Here is a 15,532-nt window from a genome sequence, read left to right as displayed (position 1 = left end):
GAATTTCCCCTGTGGTAGGAAGAGCGTTGTAGCAGTTCCAGCAGTCACACCCTCTTTGCTTCTAGCCTAGCCAAGGAAACATCTCAGATTCCCCAAGAAAGATTCATTGTACCTGCAGGTTCTGATCAGACTTTATGCTCCTCCCTGATTCAACCACCATAGCCAGTAGAAGGCCACAGTGATTGATTTAAGTTTAGGCTAGTTAAGGGGATGGTTGTCCAGAGAGAAGCAACCAGAAGAGGAGTGAGGATGCTGAGTGGCACAAGGAACAGATGCCCCTAGCAGACCATGTCCTCTTCAGTACGAGGTCCTACCACCTGGCACACAATCAGTATTGATACATGTTACTTCCACAACCCCATTCCAACAGAAAACACAGCATGAGCTTGTCACAGAAGCCCTCAAGGACTTCATGTGGCCTAGCCAGGGCTCTGTGTCCATGTGGCTTATCCCTCAGCTCCCTCTATTTCCTTTGCTGCCTTCCTGCCAGTCCCTGGCCTGTCATGCTACAGCTATGGGCAGCTGTCAGCAGGCCAGACCACCCTCCTCCTTCCAGAGCATTGGGCTGGAAATGTGTGAAATTGATGCAAACTTAGAAAACTAGGATTTGGGTTTCTCTCTCTTCCTCTCAGCATGCTTTTTGCTCAACCAGCCAGAACTGGTGGCCATCAACATACCTGCCTAAATCTGTGCCATGATAATTACCTCAGTAGCAACAGTAATAGTATTCTTATTATAACTCTTATTTTAAAGACCTACAATGGACCAAGCTCTTTAAACATATCACCACATGTCTGTGCAATAACCTTGCGAAGTAGTGTAACAGGGACCACCACAGGCTTTGCCTACCTGTAGGTACAAATGGGACCACATTACTCATAACTACTCAGATTTCACAGATTTGTTGTCCCCAAATGCTGGGGCATAATCTCTAGCCTCTTACAAATATTTCTGTGGGTTCCCAGGGGTCCTGTCATCTTGGCTCATAGTTGCTTTTCCTTGCTTTTTCCCTGCTTTTTCCCCCGGCTTTGCCAGGTTCCATGGTCTCTACTGTTGCTGTTCACCAGCAACCATGTTCCTACAGTGGAACCACCAGACACTGCATTCTCTGCCACTGCACTGGAGCCTCCACTCTGCCATTCTGCATGGCAGAAAATTTGAGGAAGAAGTCTGTCTCTTCCCCCTCTACTCTATGCCATATCTGTTAGTGAGGCCCTGATGCAGTTCTGTTTGTGCCATGATGTATTATGCAGTTGCTGAAATGGTTCCATCAATGCCCCCGCTCTCACCTACCCCCTACACTTACCACTGGACAGTGGCATGACACCAGTGGGGACTAGGCTGGGAGAAAAACACAAGTGTCAGAAACCATGCTGTACTCAAGAATCACACCTCCCTGTCCTCCCGTTTCTTTTTCTCTTTCCCTCTTTTCGCAACCCCCACCCCCAACTCAAATTCAGTCCTAGGCTGTTTTACCGGGTCAAGACCTTGACATCTGATTCCTTGGGAGAATTTCTTCTAATTAGCTAAGAGTAGGCATTCAATAAATATATGTCAAATGGTTGGTTAGTTGGATTGTTGAATGGGTAGGTGGGTGGATGTGTGGATAAAATGCTTTATCAGTTCTTATACCAACTAGTTTCTGATGAGCCCACTCCATTTATATCTGAATTTCATTTAGACTCAAGCTGAGGTCCTTGTTAAAGTTGGTATGATTTTTCTCCATGTTACAGATTTAAAAGCTGAGGCCCATAGAAGTTAAGTCACTTGTCCAAAGTCATACTGCTAACAAACAGCTAAGCCGGGATTCCAACCTAGGCTTAACTGATACTCAAATCCTTTCTTTTTTTCTACTCCACTGTCTCTATGGCAAGGGGTTAAGAGTTGTGGTTCATGAGGTGCATGACTTGTGCCATGTGCAGGAATTACATCACTGAGGTCCCCTCTGGAGGAGGACAACATTAGCATTGCCCACTTCTTCGTCACTTCCTTTAACATAGCAAATCCAGGCTAAAGAAATCCATGGACGACCCATCCCAGCAGCTGGTTGGCCTGCTCATCACAGTGGTGGAGGATGGCAGCTCCATTGGCTGAGTCTGACTTTCCCTACACATCAGCCACTTAGACAGATGTATCTGAAAGTCCAGCTCTGTTCTGCAGGTCCTTCTGACCCTACCAGCTACCACATCCTTTCCCAACTCTCTCTGGCTCAGAGGAGAAGCAGCATCTCCAGCACTTTTGGAGAGGAAGAGTCAGACCTTTGGGGTCAGTTCCTGGCAGCCAACTCCCTTCTCTGAGAGGCAAAGTTAAACTCTCCCACTGCAGCCTCAGTCCCAGGACTCACGGGACACCAGCCTGGCAATGGTGGGGGATCCTGTCCCTCTAGTGAAAGAGGGAGTCATGCTTGCCCCATGAGCTGGAGATAGCCCCACAGGTCCCAAGCCACAGCCTCCCCCTCCTGCGTGTGTGCTGTGCCCCCAATGACAGGCTTCTGACCCAGCCCCTGGTTTTCCAGGGCCTCCTAAGTCCTGAATACTGCAGCTTTCTTGGCTGAGGCCTTGCCTCCCATTCCCTGAGATCCCCCATGCTTCTCTCCAGGCTGGCTCTGATTCCCTGTTTTCAGCCATTTTCTGGGTCTCTCAGGCCCATTAAATACATTCTCAGCCTGATATAACCAGGAATGCCCCTCCCTGCGCCGGGCCAACTTTTTTGGTGTCAACCCATGCCCAGATCAAATGAAGTTTGCAAGATTCCTTGAGCCTAGTTTGGCTGGCTGGCCCATCTCTCAGGCCCAAGTAGAGTCTCTGCCCTAAATCACTGCCTGACAGAGTCCTCATCTGGGCTCAAAGTGGACCGAGGTAAATGTGTGGGATTGATGTTATGCGGGAGAGTTGGGAAATGCCTTTCGCAGGAGGGTAGGTAGGGGCTCCATAAACCTATAGATCTGATTCTGTAGACGAGAGCCAGACAATGCCCAGGAGTAAATGCTAAGCTAGAGCCTGGACTCTTCCCTGCAAGAATCACTAAGCAAGAGTTAGGGATCAATTTCACGAGGTTGTATGCATGTGTGTGCCTGTGTGCATTTTACTGGAGGCATTTCCATCACTTTTATTAATAACAGTATTTACTCAGAACTTACTATGTGCCAGGCACTGCTCTAAGCACTGATGCATTTACATATATTAACTCATTTAATTCACATCACACCCTATGAGATAGAGACTATTGTTATCCTCACTTTATTCTTGAAGAAAGTAAGGCACAGGGAGATTGAGTAATATGACCAAGATCACACAGCCAGTAACTTTGAGGCAGGCGGATCACGAGGTCAGAAGATCGAGACATCCTGGCTAACACGGTGAAACCCCGTCTCTACTAAAAATACAGAAAAAATTAGCCAGGTATGGTCGCAGGCACCTGTAGTCCCAGCTACTCTGGAGGCTGAGGCAGGAGAATGGAGTGAACCCCGGAGGCAGAGCTTGCAGTGAGCTGAGATCGTGCCACTGCACTCCAGCCTGGGCGACAGAGTGAGACTCCTTCTCAAAATAAAAAATAAATAAATAAAAATAAAAAGTAGAACCAGTATTTCAGCCCAGATCTTTGTGAATCCACATCTATTCTTTGAACCTCTAGTTTTGTTATTAAAATCTCAGAGACATGTGTGACCCAATAAAGGCTGAGAGCGTTCACACAAAGAGAGGAAGCTTAAAAAGTAGAAAAGAACCTTCACTGGGTCAAACCCGGAGCGAGGGAGCATTAAAGAAGTCAGCCTGGACTCCGGGACTGTGGTATTGTAGCCACATTCTGCTGTCCAGGCTTGTGTAAGCTATTTCATTTCTTCCTTCTGAGTGTAGCAGGCCTCACAATCCCTATTTTACAGATGAGAAAAGTGTGGTTCAGTGAGGCTCAGTAAACTTCCCATAACCACATACTAGTCCATAGTGGTCCAGAGATTCAAACCCAAGCAAATCCCATGTGACTCTCAAACTGGTTCTGGGAGAGGGATGTGACTTGCCCCCCCCCCATGGCCTTGCCCACCATGGGCAGGGGAGGTGATGTAGGAAGGGATCCTGTGCTCCCCTTTCCAACCCATCCTGCCTCTGCCTTGTCTCCTCCTCCCTACTCTCCTATCACCCCCTCCCCACCCACCACACCTATCCATCTTCACTTGCTGGGGATTAAGTTAGGAAAACAAAAATGAAATGAACACTGCTCTGCCGACCCATCCCTGGAGACACTGACTTACACGGGTCTGATGCTGTTGATGATGTTCTATCGATTTCCCCTCTAATTGCTGCAGCTGGATCTATATTCATTTTCTGTCTCAAACTTCTCTTTTGTTGGTTCAATCAGCTAAATGAAGGGCCCATTTCTCTCTGTCCCTGTCCTGAAAAGCCAAAGAAGTTTCCAATGAAGAGCTCTCTTCGGAAATCAGTGAGGCCAGCAGACTGAGGACAAAGAGCGTCAGAATTTGATTACCTCTTTTGAAAAGTTGGCTAAGAACAAAGCTGGAAAAGAAAGTCTCGGGAGACCGAGTCCATTGGCAAGAAGAGGAGATATTTCCCCTTGAATTCACAGATCAGTTCATTCATTCATTCCACAACTTTATTGAACATCTACCATGGACCAGACTCCATGGTAGGATCTAAAAATATTCATCATGAACCAAATGGACACAGACCCTGCCTTCACAAAGTTAAGTGTGAGTAGGGTGGACAGATATTAATCGAATAACCTTATTGTTATATAATTTGTGCTATGGAAATGTCTAGGTCAACGTGGAGAGCCACAGGAAAAGCTTGCTGCAACCAACCCTGACATTTCAGGTTGGAAAGAAGGCTTGGTTGCAGCAAGCCTCACCTTTCCCTTTGTCAGCTCAGCAAGCTTTCTTTTCAGTTCCACTCAACTGAAGGTATACAAAGAAGGGAGTAAAGTACTGGGGAAGCAAGCCTCCAATCTGGACAAGACTTGGTGTTTTTCTTCCAAGAGCTCACTACCTAGAGGACAGACAGAACCAGGCACATGGAACTCTGGATTGAGGCAGGCAGGGGTAGATGTTACCATATAAGTATAGTCTGAGTGCTAGGAGAGATTGGGAAGGCCAAGATGAATCTGGCATGTGCAATGTAGGAAGACTTCTCTGAAGAGGCAGCATTTGAGTAGGGTCTTGAAGATGTCATCTAACCTTGACAGCCCTACTGCATCTTCTCAGTGCCCAGCATTTCGAAAACCCCTATGGAGGATAAAGCTAGAGGAGGGGCTAGCCACCTGAAATGACATCTGACTCCATGGAGATTCAGTGTCAGGAACAATGAGGGGACCAGAAGCTGCAACAATTGTACCTGCTTGTACAGGTCTTTGGGGGGTGGTGAGGGTGCATGCAAAATCAACTCTTTTCCTTTGTGATCTGCCTCTAGCTTTGGCCCTTTGGGTAAACCTGACACCCACGTTTAGTATTCACTCCTGAATGTTCACTACTTGCTCAAGAGGCATTTGAGACTCTTCAGTCTCCATTCTTGGTATGTGACAACACTTCATCATTCCAGTTTAGCCCATTGCCAGTTATTAGCCTTCACTTGGCCATTCTCCCCCACCCCCCAACTCTTTATTCATCAGGCTGGGTGAAGTGTACAGGTTATACAAGGGCGTTAGTTAAGATACACAGGTTATGCTGCAATAACAAATAACCTCCCCCAAGTATCAGTGGCTTAACACAGCAAAGAATTTTATTACCCGTGCAAAGTTTACAGCAAGCTCAGTGGCTCTCCAGGGCAATTCCCTTCTAATAAGCACCTTAGAGGTCTGATGGGCTTCCATCCTTGCCTCTGATATTTTAACACATGGTTTCCCATGTTACCGGAGAGAGCAAGTCAGTCATCTGAGAGCTTATGACTGCATTTTCCCAAAAGTGACACACATAATTTCTGCTCATAATCTTGACCAGAATTAGTCACATGGCATGACCAGGAAGAAAAGAACTAGATATTTATGAGTTCTACCCATGTTTATCACGGTTTGTCCAGCCTCTGAACATTTATTTGTTTATTTATTTATTTATTTATTCTGCCTTTTTACAGACATTCTTATCGGAGGCCCCAAACTTTCAACTCATCATAGCCCAGCTTCTCATTTCTCATCCCTGTTTCTGTGATCAATTCATAGCCCACGTCTCTGTCCTCACTGACATACTTCTCATCCAGTAACTGGTAAGCTGTGATTCAAGCTCATGACTATTTTTTTAAAAAAATTTCACATCTTTTCCTCTACATTAAACCACTTCCGTTGGAAAAGCCCATGTCCTAAAAACATTTCTGCTCTTGTTGGGACAACACAGTTGAGACATACAATAAAGGTAGAATGGCTCAAGTACGGTAGTTAAAAGCTTAGTTTTTGAAGTGAGGCTCACATAAGTTCAACTCTCAACTCTGACGATTATTTGGGTGACTTTGGTTAAATGACTTAATCTCCAATTTGCACATCTGTAAAATGGGAATTGTAATAATACTGATTCAGGGTGTTTGTGATGTCAAACAAGCTAATGGGTTAGTAAGAGCTCAATAAACAGTAGCTGCTATTAGTATTACTATAGATTTCTAGAAGTCAATATCTAATCAAGGGTTAGATAGTGTATTTTACTATCCCAATGCTGAGATGCCAGGAGAAGACGGAGGGGGAAGCAGAAGTACTTCGGGATCTGAGTTTTCTGCAGGCTCCAAATGAGTTGCTGAGCAATTAAGCTGTTAAGAAAGCCAGGATGGTAAGGATATTTCAGGCATGCACCTCAAGAGTAATAGGGCCTGGAGGTAGGGGTCAATACATCTCTGAGTATAAGGAAGAGGTTAGGGATATGGAGATAAAACCTCCTTTTCAAATTCTGCAACTTGAAACTTGGACTGGCTCCAACATTGTTTAAATTAAATATCGCCATGCTTATATAATGCTCAGCCCAGTCCCAGGCCTATAGTTGATGCTTAATAAGTAATAATAATGATCATTATGATTATGATTATTCTACTCCAGTAAGTTAGCACATTGAAGGGACAGACCATAACAAGGAAGTATCTCCAAAGATACTTATTCTATGAATTGTTGATCCACATCATCAGCATGTTAGAGAACCCTCTTTCAGGGCAAAATCTCCTTTAAATAGTGTGAGTTTGAAACTATGAAATGCATTTCTGACCTTGAGGAGCATAGCATTTAGCAATGGAGTTGGATATAATAGCGATGACAACGTGTATTGAGTGCCTTGTCCTCAATACACAAATAACCCTGCAAAATATCAGTAGCCTGACACAGTAAAGATTTGTTTATTACCCATGCAAAGTTTGCAGCAAGCTCAGTGGCTCTCCAGGGCAGTTCCCTTCTAATCAGCACCTTAGAAGTCTGGTGGGCTTCCATCTTTGACTCTGATATCTTAACACATGGTTTCCCATATTAGTGGAGAGAGCTGGACAGGACAGTCATCTGAGAGCTGAAGACTGCATTTTCCCCAAAGTGACACACATTATTTCTGCTCTTAATCTTGATCAGAATTAGCCATCACAATGGCACGACCTAACTCCAAAGCTTCTGTGCCTATCATAAACGTTATCTTCAAATGTCAAAGATAAGCTTTGAACAAGGAGGAACAAGGTAGTTGAACAAGGTAGGTCTTATTCTCCCCGATGTTATAAATGAAGAGAATTGAACCTCAATTTCCTTCACTTTAAAATGGGCACAACAAGAAGTTTGACCAACTTGTTGTGAAGATTAGAGACAGATTATAAAGGGCATAGGATTATTCTAGGCACAGCGATGTTATAGGAGTTAATAGGGAAGTCACCAGAGCACAACCAGGATGTAACCATTTAGCTGCTGCCTGTACTGGGAATGTATGTCGGGTGGGTGGGTTGTGAGTCAGGAGTCAGACAGCTGGAGTTTGGGATAGAGGAACTGTGTTGAGTGAACTCACAAGCAATGGAGGAGGATGGGGAAATGAGGAAGGTGAGATGAAGCCTGTGAGGTTTTTCCCAGAGATGTCAATCTCAGACTCTACAGGGCTGCCACCTGAGTCTGTCACAGGGCTAGAACTGGGTATGAGTGTGGGACAGCTCTTTCCCTGTCCCATACCTCCACCACCACTAACCAAGTCCAAGATTATCCAAAGTTCAGATCCAGTTCTAAGGACTGCCCGCATCTTTGGCTTCTTGTGTTTCCCCTAAGTTTCCTTAGTTTCCCCTAAGCAGATCCAGAAGTCAATGTGCCAGAGATAAGCCTTGGGTGTGGCAACTCCAAGTCTTCCCACAACCTACCACTCCTGCCCTCTGTATCATTCCTGGGTGCAGGGTTAGAACCCTGACTATCACTCTCATACACAGCACTCCAGTCCTGCCCTAATGACAGAATACACTGGAGTATTCCCTGGTACCATCAGCTTCTTTGCACAGGTTCTGCTACAAGTGACACATATCCATTCTCTCTGCATATAAATATTTGACTTAAGGGAACATATTTATGGGACCATAATGAAGACCTTTGCAAGAAAACAGGGGTGCATTCTCCTTAGGGTTAGCTGGAGATAGGCACTTGTAGGGTGGACCCAGCCTGATAAATTCCACTATTGGAGATTTTAAAAATCTTAACTTGAATTCATAATCCTTTAATGTGTAAATCTTTCAAGGAAAGGTAAAACATTATCAGAGTGTAGGCAAAGTCTTAACAGGGAGCTTCTTGATGAGATTGCCTGTGGCAAAGCCAATGATCAGAACTATGTAGAATAGATGGTGCAAAGTCAGTTTGGACTTCGTAAGACCAGGACTATGGAGAGTTCCTTCCTGGCTTATAGCAATTTCAGAGAGACTTCTAGATCTGCTCCATCTCCTGAAGGCACCACTGCCTTCAAGCCATCTGCATCTCTGGAGAAGAGTTCTCTAGGAGACCCTCATTAGATAATGGAACCTTCATCTCTGAGTAAAGGTGAATATCTTTTCTCTGAATAGAATTGGAGCTCAGTTTGGAGTTTGTATTCAAGAGATCAGATGGATTGAGACCTAAGGACACAGATCTTCTTCCTGGACTTATCTTGATGCTGCTGCTGCTGCTGCTAATGATTATGGTGGTAGTGATGGTGATAGTAATAATGGTGATAGCTAATATTCATTGTATACTTATTATGTTCCAGGTACAGCTTTATGCATTTCATGTGTGTTAATTTACTGAATACCCAGAATAGGCCTAGGAGGTGGGTACTATTATTATAGTGATTCTACAAATAAGAAAATAAAGAGCAGAGAGGCAGGGCTTCCCTGTGCCACTGCACCACACAGCTCCAAGGGTAGTCTATGTCAGTGGTGCCCCCTAGAGTTGTGTAGAGCACAAACTGTGCAGTCAGTCTGCAAAGAGGTTAAGTGACTTACCAATGTCTCAAAGCTAATAACAGGTGGGCTTAGAACCCAGGTAACATATGGCCAGGATTCCTGTTCTTAACCGCTACATTCAATAGGACCCTTTATATCAGGGTTTTCTTCTCAGGTAAGTATACTGTGTCATAAAGGGTCAAGTGGTATTTTTTTAAATTCATTTTTAATCTTTCTTTGCAATTACAAAGATAATGTATGATTCTAGCATCAAACTCAAAGATTACAAAAGCAATCAATGCGAAGTCAAAGCCTCCCTCCCCCATCCCTATCCTCACATTTAGCCCTGTGGATGTCTCTGCCCCACACATTTCCACACTTGTCAGTTTCCTTGCTGACAAGACATAGGAAGGGAAGAGACAATGCTAGATTGACTTGATTGCTATTTGCAGGAGGAAGGGAGATTGATATGGGAAAAGAAGGCAATAAAGCTAGAATTTTATGACAACTTGTTGGCACTGCAGGCAGACTTCCTGCTTGGATCTCTCCTATCTGGAGGGATGAGATGGGGACTCTGTCACATGCACAATTTTGAGATGTATATTTAAAAGAGCTCTACGAATGGGGTTTTCAGAGCTTTTGAATCTTAGTACCACCTATTAGACTCCTGCCGGGAGGACAAATCAAGCCTCAGTACACTGTATCAAGAGCTACATAGATATCTCTGTTCTAATTTTATGCACTCTGAAGATTGTGTGGTGCTTCTGAGCAGTTCCTTGGCCAAAACTATAGCAGCATCTGCTGGGATATTGCTAACCAAGGGACATTCAGCCTAGGCCTGGGATAATCCTCCTAATCTTATAAACAGATACATGTTTTCTCTTTTCCTTTAACAAAATGAGATTATACCACATTTGTCTACAATCAAATTTGCTGTTCAATTCACTTTTATGTATCACACACATCTCCTATGTCAGTACAAAAAACTTACCACTTCACTTCCACTGTGCAGCTACACTACAATTTTTTGTCAACTTCTTGTTGATGGATATTTAATTCTTTCCAATTTCTTTTTATTACTGTCACAAGCAGTGTTATCATAAATGTTCTCACCTACATCCTTTCAGTTTGCACTAATATTTTTATATGAAGGGGAATTGCTGTGTGAAGGGAAATGCCATTGGTTGATTTTAATGATATGGCCAGATGGTGTGGGAAACAAACGAGATGTGTTTTAACATGAGGGCGGAGGCGTAATGGCTTGTAAGTGGTCATGAGGAGCAAGGAGAATGCTGACCTGAGATTTTGTACCTCGGCAGTATGAGAAGCATCAGCTTGAGAAGACCAGGGAGGCAGCGGTGTCCTCTGGGGAGATCTCATTCTCGGTTAATGTGGGAGGTGAAAGAAGTGTTCTGGGAAGAGTTTGAGCTTGTAGGGAAGTCCATTTGCCACAGGATGAGGAGGACTTGGAGGGATGGGAGTGTTAGACTGGATCAGAGCTGAGGGGGCAGAGAGCGGTGTGGGGATGAGAAGGCAGGAGAATATAGAAGCTGGGCGTGAAGGAGGGTCTTCCATATGTGAGGTAAAAAATGGTAGATGACAAGGGAGTGAGGCTGGAGGATTCCTGCTACTAGGGTCAACTGGATCTCGGGTGAAAGTCCTGGAATGTTACCCAAGGCTTGATGACACTTGCAAAGCACAGTCTTGGCACAGGGTTTGCCTTAGGTTTCATTCTTTAGAAAGAGAGCCTGAAATATTTAATATTTGTTGAGGAAGAGCTCCTCAAGAAAACCTGTAACGGGCAGAAGGAAGCAGGAAATAGAAGGAAAAAGAGCCAAGCAAGACTGTGGACTCAGACAGTCTAGCTTTGCCCAACCCAAGGGGATGCTTTGGAGTGTAAATTACACCACAGCGTGATGATTCGGTGAGACAAAAAGGCCAAGTGTTTATCTGCTCATACCAACTGGCCATTAAGTGTAACCTCTCAGACTTCTCCAGGCCAGGAGTTTCCTACATTCCCAGGGCAAATTTTCAGAGGAGGTACTAGTCATAGGCCAACAGCCACAGCAGTTGCAGCAGCAGCAGCAGCAACAGCAGCAGCAACAGCAGCACAGGGGGAAATGTGTGAACAGGTAAAGGGACTTAGAAAAGGCCCAAACAGTAACTACAACATGGATCAAACAGATACTCGGAGCAATCTAATTAGGAGGCCTCCGGAGATGTGCAAGTCAGACATGGGGTGGAGGCAGGATTCACTGGTTCCCAGGAATCTTGCCTCACAGTGGATCAGCAAGAATGCCAGTGGGGTGGAAGAATCCTGCCTTCCTCAGGTGAACAGCTTGCCTAGTCCTGGCTCAGGCACACTTTGGAAGGAACAATTGTTTTATAGTGAGGTGGCTGTCCTGAGAACCAAAGTGAATGACTGATGCTGGTGTGGAGCATCAGAAATTAGCCACCACTTCAGGGCCTGTGGAAGGGGGTCCAAGGTCTCCGTGGAGAGTGTGCAGGTGAACTCTAGATAAGGCCAGGACTGTGCACACCCTTTCTTGTGTCTCTCTACATTTTACCTCCCTAGAGCATCTCCACACCTACCAATGCCCTGGAGGAGTTCCAATGGCATGTGCTTCACACACCCACTTTGGATGCAGCCCCTCATTGGCCATAGCTCTCCTGCTGTGTCTCACACTCCCAAAGATTAAATTTCTGGGGGTGAAACTATGCAGGTTCTGTTTCTTGCCCACTCAATATCTATTCCCTCTTTCTTCCTTGCTCATTGAACCTGATTTTGTTCATAGCAATGATGTGTCCAGTCCTTGTAGACAAGCCAGATTTGTCCCTAATCTGAACATAACAAGACCAGGCTTTGCTCTCCCAGCAAGTAGGGTTGGCTTTTGTACCTTGGTTTTTTTGTTTGTTTGTTTGTTTGTTTGTTTTGCCAGTGGCATCTGGAAGTCTTCTAAGTGGTTCTGGGAAGTTTTCTACCTCCATGATGAAGGGCGAAAGGCAGAGCTGGAGCTGTCTCTCTCTCTTTTCTCCTTCTCCTCTTCCTACCTTGAACACAGGTGCCCTGTCCAGAGCTGTAGCAACCAACCGTGGTCATGAAGCAAAATGCAGATGTAAAGGCCAGGAGAGTCTCAGAGATGCCACCCCTGACATTATCCAGGTGCTGAGCTATTTCCAGAAGCCTCCAGCCTCCAGGCACCTCGGATGTGAGAAAAATAAACCCCTATTTGTTTAAACCACTTTCAACCAAGTTTTCTGTTACTTGCAGCCAAATGCTTTCCTAAGCAATACAGGAGATGACAGGGGTCCAGTCTGAGTTCTCCATGCCCCTATGAGCATGGCATAAAGGATGGATAGCAATCTTTCTGGGAGTCCAGTGCCAGAGTAGAGCCTCCTGCTCAATCCTGGTTCCATCTGGTCCCATCTCCTTCCTCGTCTTGATGGATCATAGAAATGCAAATCTATGATGATCAGTCATAAATGAGGAACAGGCAAGGTGGACCAGCAGAATTAGGAAACAAAACTTGGAAAGATTCCCAGAAGAACAGAGAGAGAGAAATCCTTTTATGGGTGTTTGTTTTTAGGCCCATAGGCTGAGAACCAGCATGTACATTTCTGAGTGGTGACAATAATACCAATTCAAAAACACAACCATAAAAGCAACTGCCATTTATTGAGCATCCACTATAGGCTTGGTGATTCATATTCATTATCTCATTTGCACAACCACCCACCCAATGACATGATTACAATTATATCCATGTTTTTTAAGACAACACTGAGGTTCAGAGAGGTGAGATAATTCACCTAAGCTCACTTCATTAGAAAGGGGCAGTGGCTGAAGGCACACCCAGCCTGTCTGACTCCAGTGTCTGTAGATTTAATCTCCATGGTGCAAGGCATCAGTAGGTGTGGAAATGCTCTAGGGAGGTAAAATGTAGGGGGAGGAAAGGAAGAGGGATGCACAGTTCTGGCGTTGTCTGCAGTTCACCTGCACACTCTTCAGACTCCACAGAGATCTTGGACCCTCTTCCACAGTCCCTGAAGCAATGGCTGATTCCTGACTCTCCACATCCACACCAGCCATTAGACTTGGTTTCCAGAACGGCCACCCCTCTACAAAACAATTGTTCCTCTAAAGTGTGCCCAAGCCAAGACGAGGCAAGCTGTTCACCTGAAGAAGTCGGAATCCTCCCACCTATTGGCACTCTTGCTGTTTAATTGTGGGACAAGTTTCCTGAGAACGAGTGAATCCTGCCCTCACCTCATGTCTGGCTTGCACGTCTCTGGAGGCATCCTGCTGCACACAGCTCAACTCTATTCATTCCAGCAGTGGTGACCAGAGGAAGGCAGAGAGGTGTCTGTCACCACAATTTGCAGGACATGTCCAGATCCTGCCAATTAGAAACATGATTTTTCTCACTCCTTTGCAATTTTGTGCCCACCCCCTATAAGTTTCCAATAAGTGCCCTTTTGGCTTAAATTAGTCAAGAAAGCTTAACTAAAATGACTGTAAATATCAGGTTCCCTTCCTACATACAAAATATGACATGATTAATGGATATTCCATTTACATGCAATGTTATAGAGATTGCACAACGGAAGTAACCCCAAATTTTCTGTATTGCCACAATCACACCATGGACCTTTTTCAGCCTTCATGTCTCAATGTGTTTGCCCACACTACTTTCTCCAACCAGAATGCCCTGTCTCCTTGCAAAAGCCATCTCTTGGGGTAAGCACTAAGCCCATGGTGACCTCTCTTCTCTGAAGCCTTCTTCTCCAGAGGCCATGGATTCAGTGGTTGAGTCTAAGCTACCTGAATTGTGCCTTCAGGTCCAGATAAATAAGCCAAGAATGGACCTCTGAACCAACCTGGGCCAATCAAGTTCTTGTAAAAATCTGGAATTTTGGACCCAAAAAAGACCCAGAGACTAGGAGTTAGTGAAGATGCAAACTCAATGCAAGCTCTATAGAGCGTTTGGCTTCTTGCAGCTCTTGAGATGTACTTGCTCATCTCTTCCTTGGATTCCTTGAAACAACAAGGACTCTCCCAATAGCTGTCTTCTGTTTTAACCAATTAGTCACTTTCTGTTACCTGAAACGAAAACAACTTTATTCAACACACTCCAGATTCTCTGCCCATTTCTTCAAGATTGTTATGTTCCTTTTTTAGGGAAGCCTTCTCGGACCTACTATCCCCTATCAGGCAAATTGCCCCCTTCCTACTCTGTGTTCTCATAATACTTAATGCTCACTTTTTTTTTTTTTTTTTTGACAAGGTCTCATTCTGTTGCCATGGCTGGAGTGCAGTGGCGTGATCTCGCTCATTGCAACCTCTGCCTCCTGGGCTGGAGCGATCCTCCCACCTCAGCCTCCCAGGTAGCTGGGACTGACTACAGGTGCACACCACCATGCCCAGCTAATTTTTGTATTTTTTGTATAGATGGGGTTGCCCGGGCTGGTCTCAAACTCCTGGGCTCAAGTGATCCACCCACCTTGGCCTCCCAAAGTGCTGGGATTACAGGTATGAACCACTGAGCCTGGCCAACGCTCACTTTTACTGCAGCATTTTGTACCCTGTTTTTAATCTGTTGTGTATTTAGAACACGAGTTTCTCAAGGAGAGAAGCAGTCTTATTTATACTGGTGTTCCCAGTATAATCTTAGTGCCTGCCACATAAGAAGTATTTTTAAATTCTTCTTAAATTCTTCTTGAGCACTTGATTAAACAAACGAATGAATAAATGAACAATCAGAGCTAGATTGGAGACAGGCTCCATGAAGGGTTAAACCTGCTTCCTTTGTGGTGTGTAGGTAAACACACAGGGCACATCAGCAGCAAGCCAGCTCCATTCAGCTCACACCTCCGCCACAATGAGCTCCACCAAGCTGTCAGCGTTGCTTTGTCCTGTCACTGCCTGTTGCTTGGAATGAAAGGCCATGAGATGAGGGACTAGAGATTCCCTTGGTTGTACAGGGATTTCTTGTTTTCAGAAGGCCTCACCTGGCAGGTTTCTGGACCTCCCATTGACCCCTGGATGTCTGGAGCAAAACCCTGAGGAGCAGGGAGGGCTCCCTGTCTGCCTGAGGGAAGGGGTCCGAAAGGGAGCCGGGAGCGTCAGAAAGCCAGGCCAACCTGTCTCCTCATTCACAAGAGTTTCATTCTGTCAGTTGTCAGAGAATCTTCTG

Source organism: Homo sapiens, chromosome 1 (genome assembly GCF_000001405.40).
Source record: "Homo sapiens chromosome 1, GRCh38.p14 Primary Assembly".
NCBI lineage: Eukaryota > Metazoa > Chordata > Mammalia > Primates > Hominidae > Homo > Homo sapiens.
Note: the sequence above shows the minus strand (reverse complement) of the source record.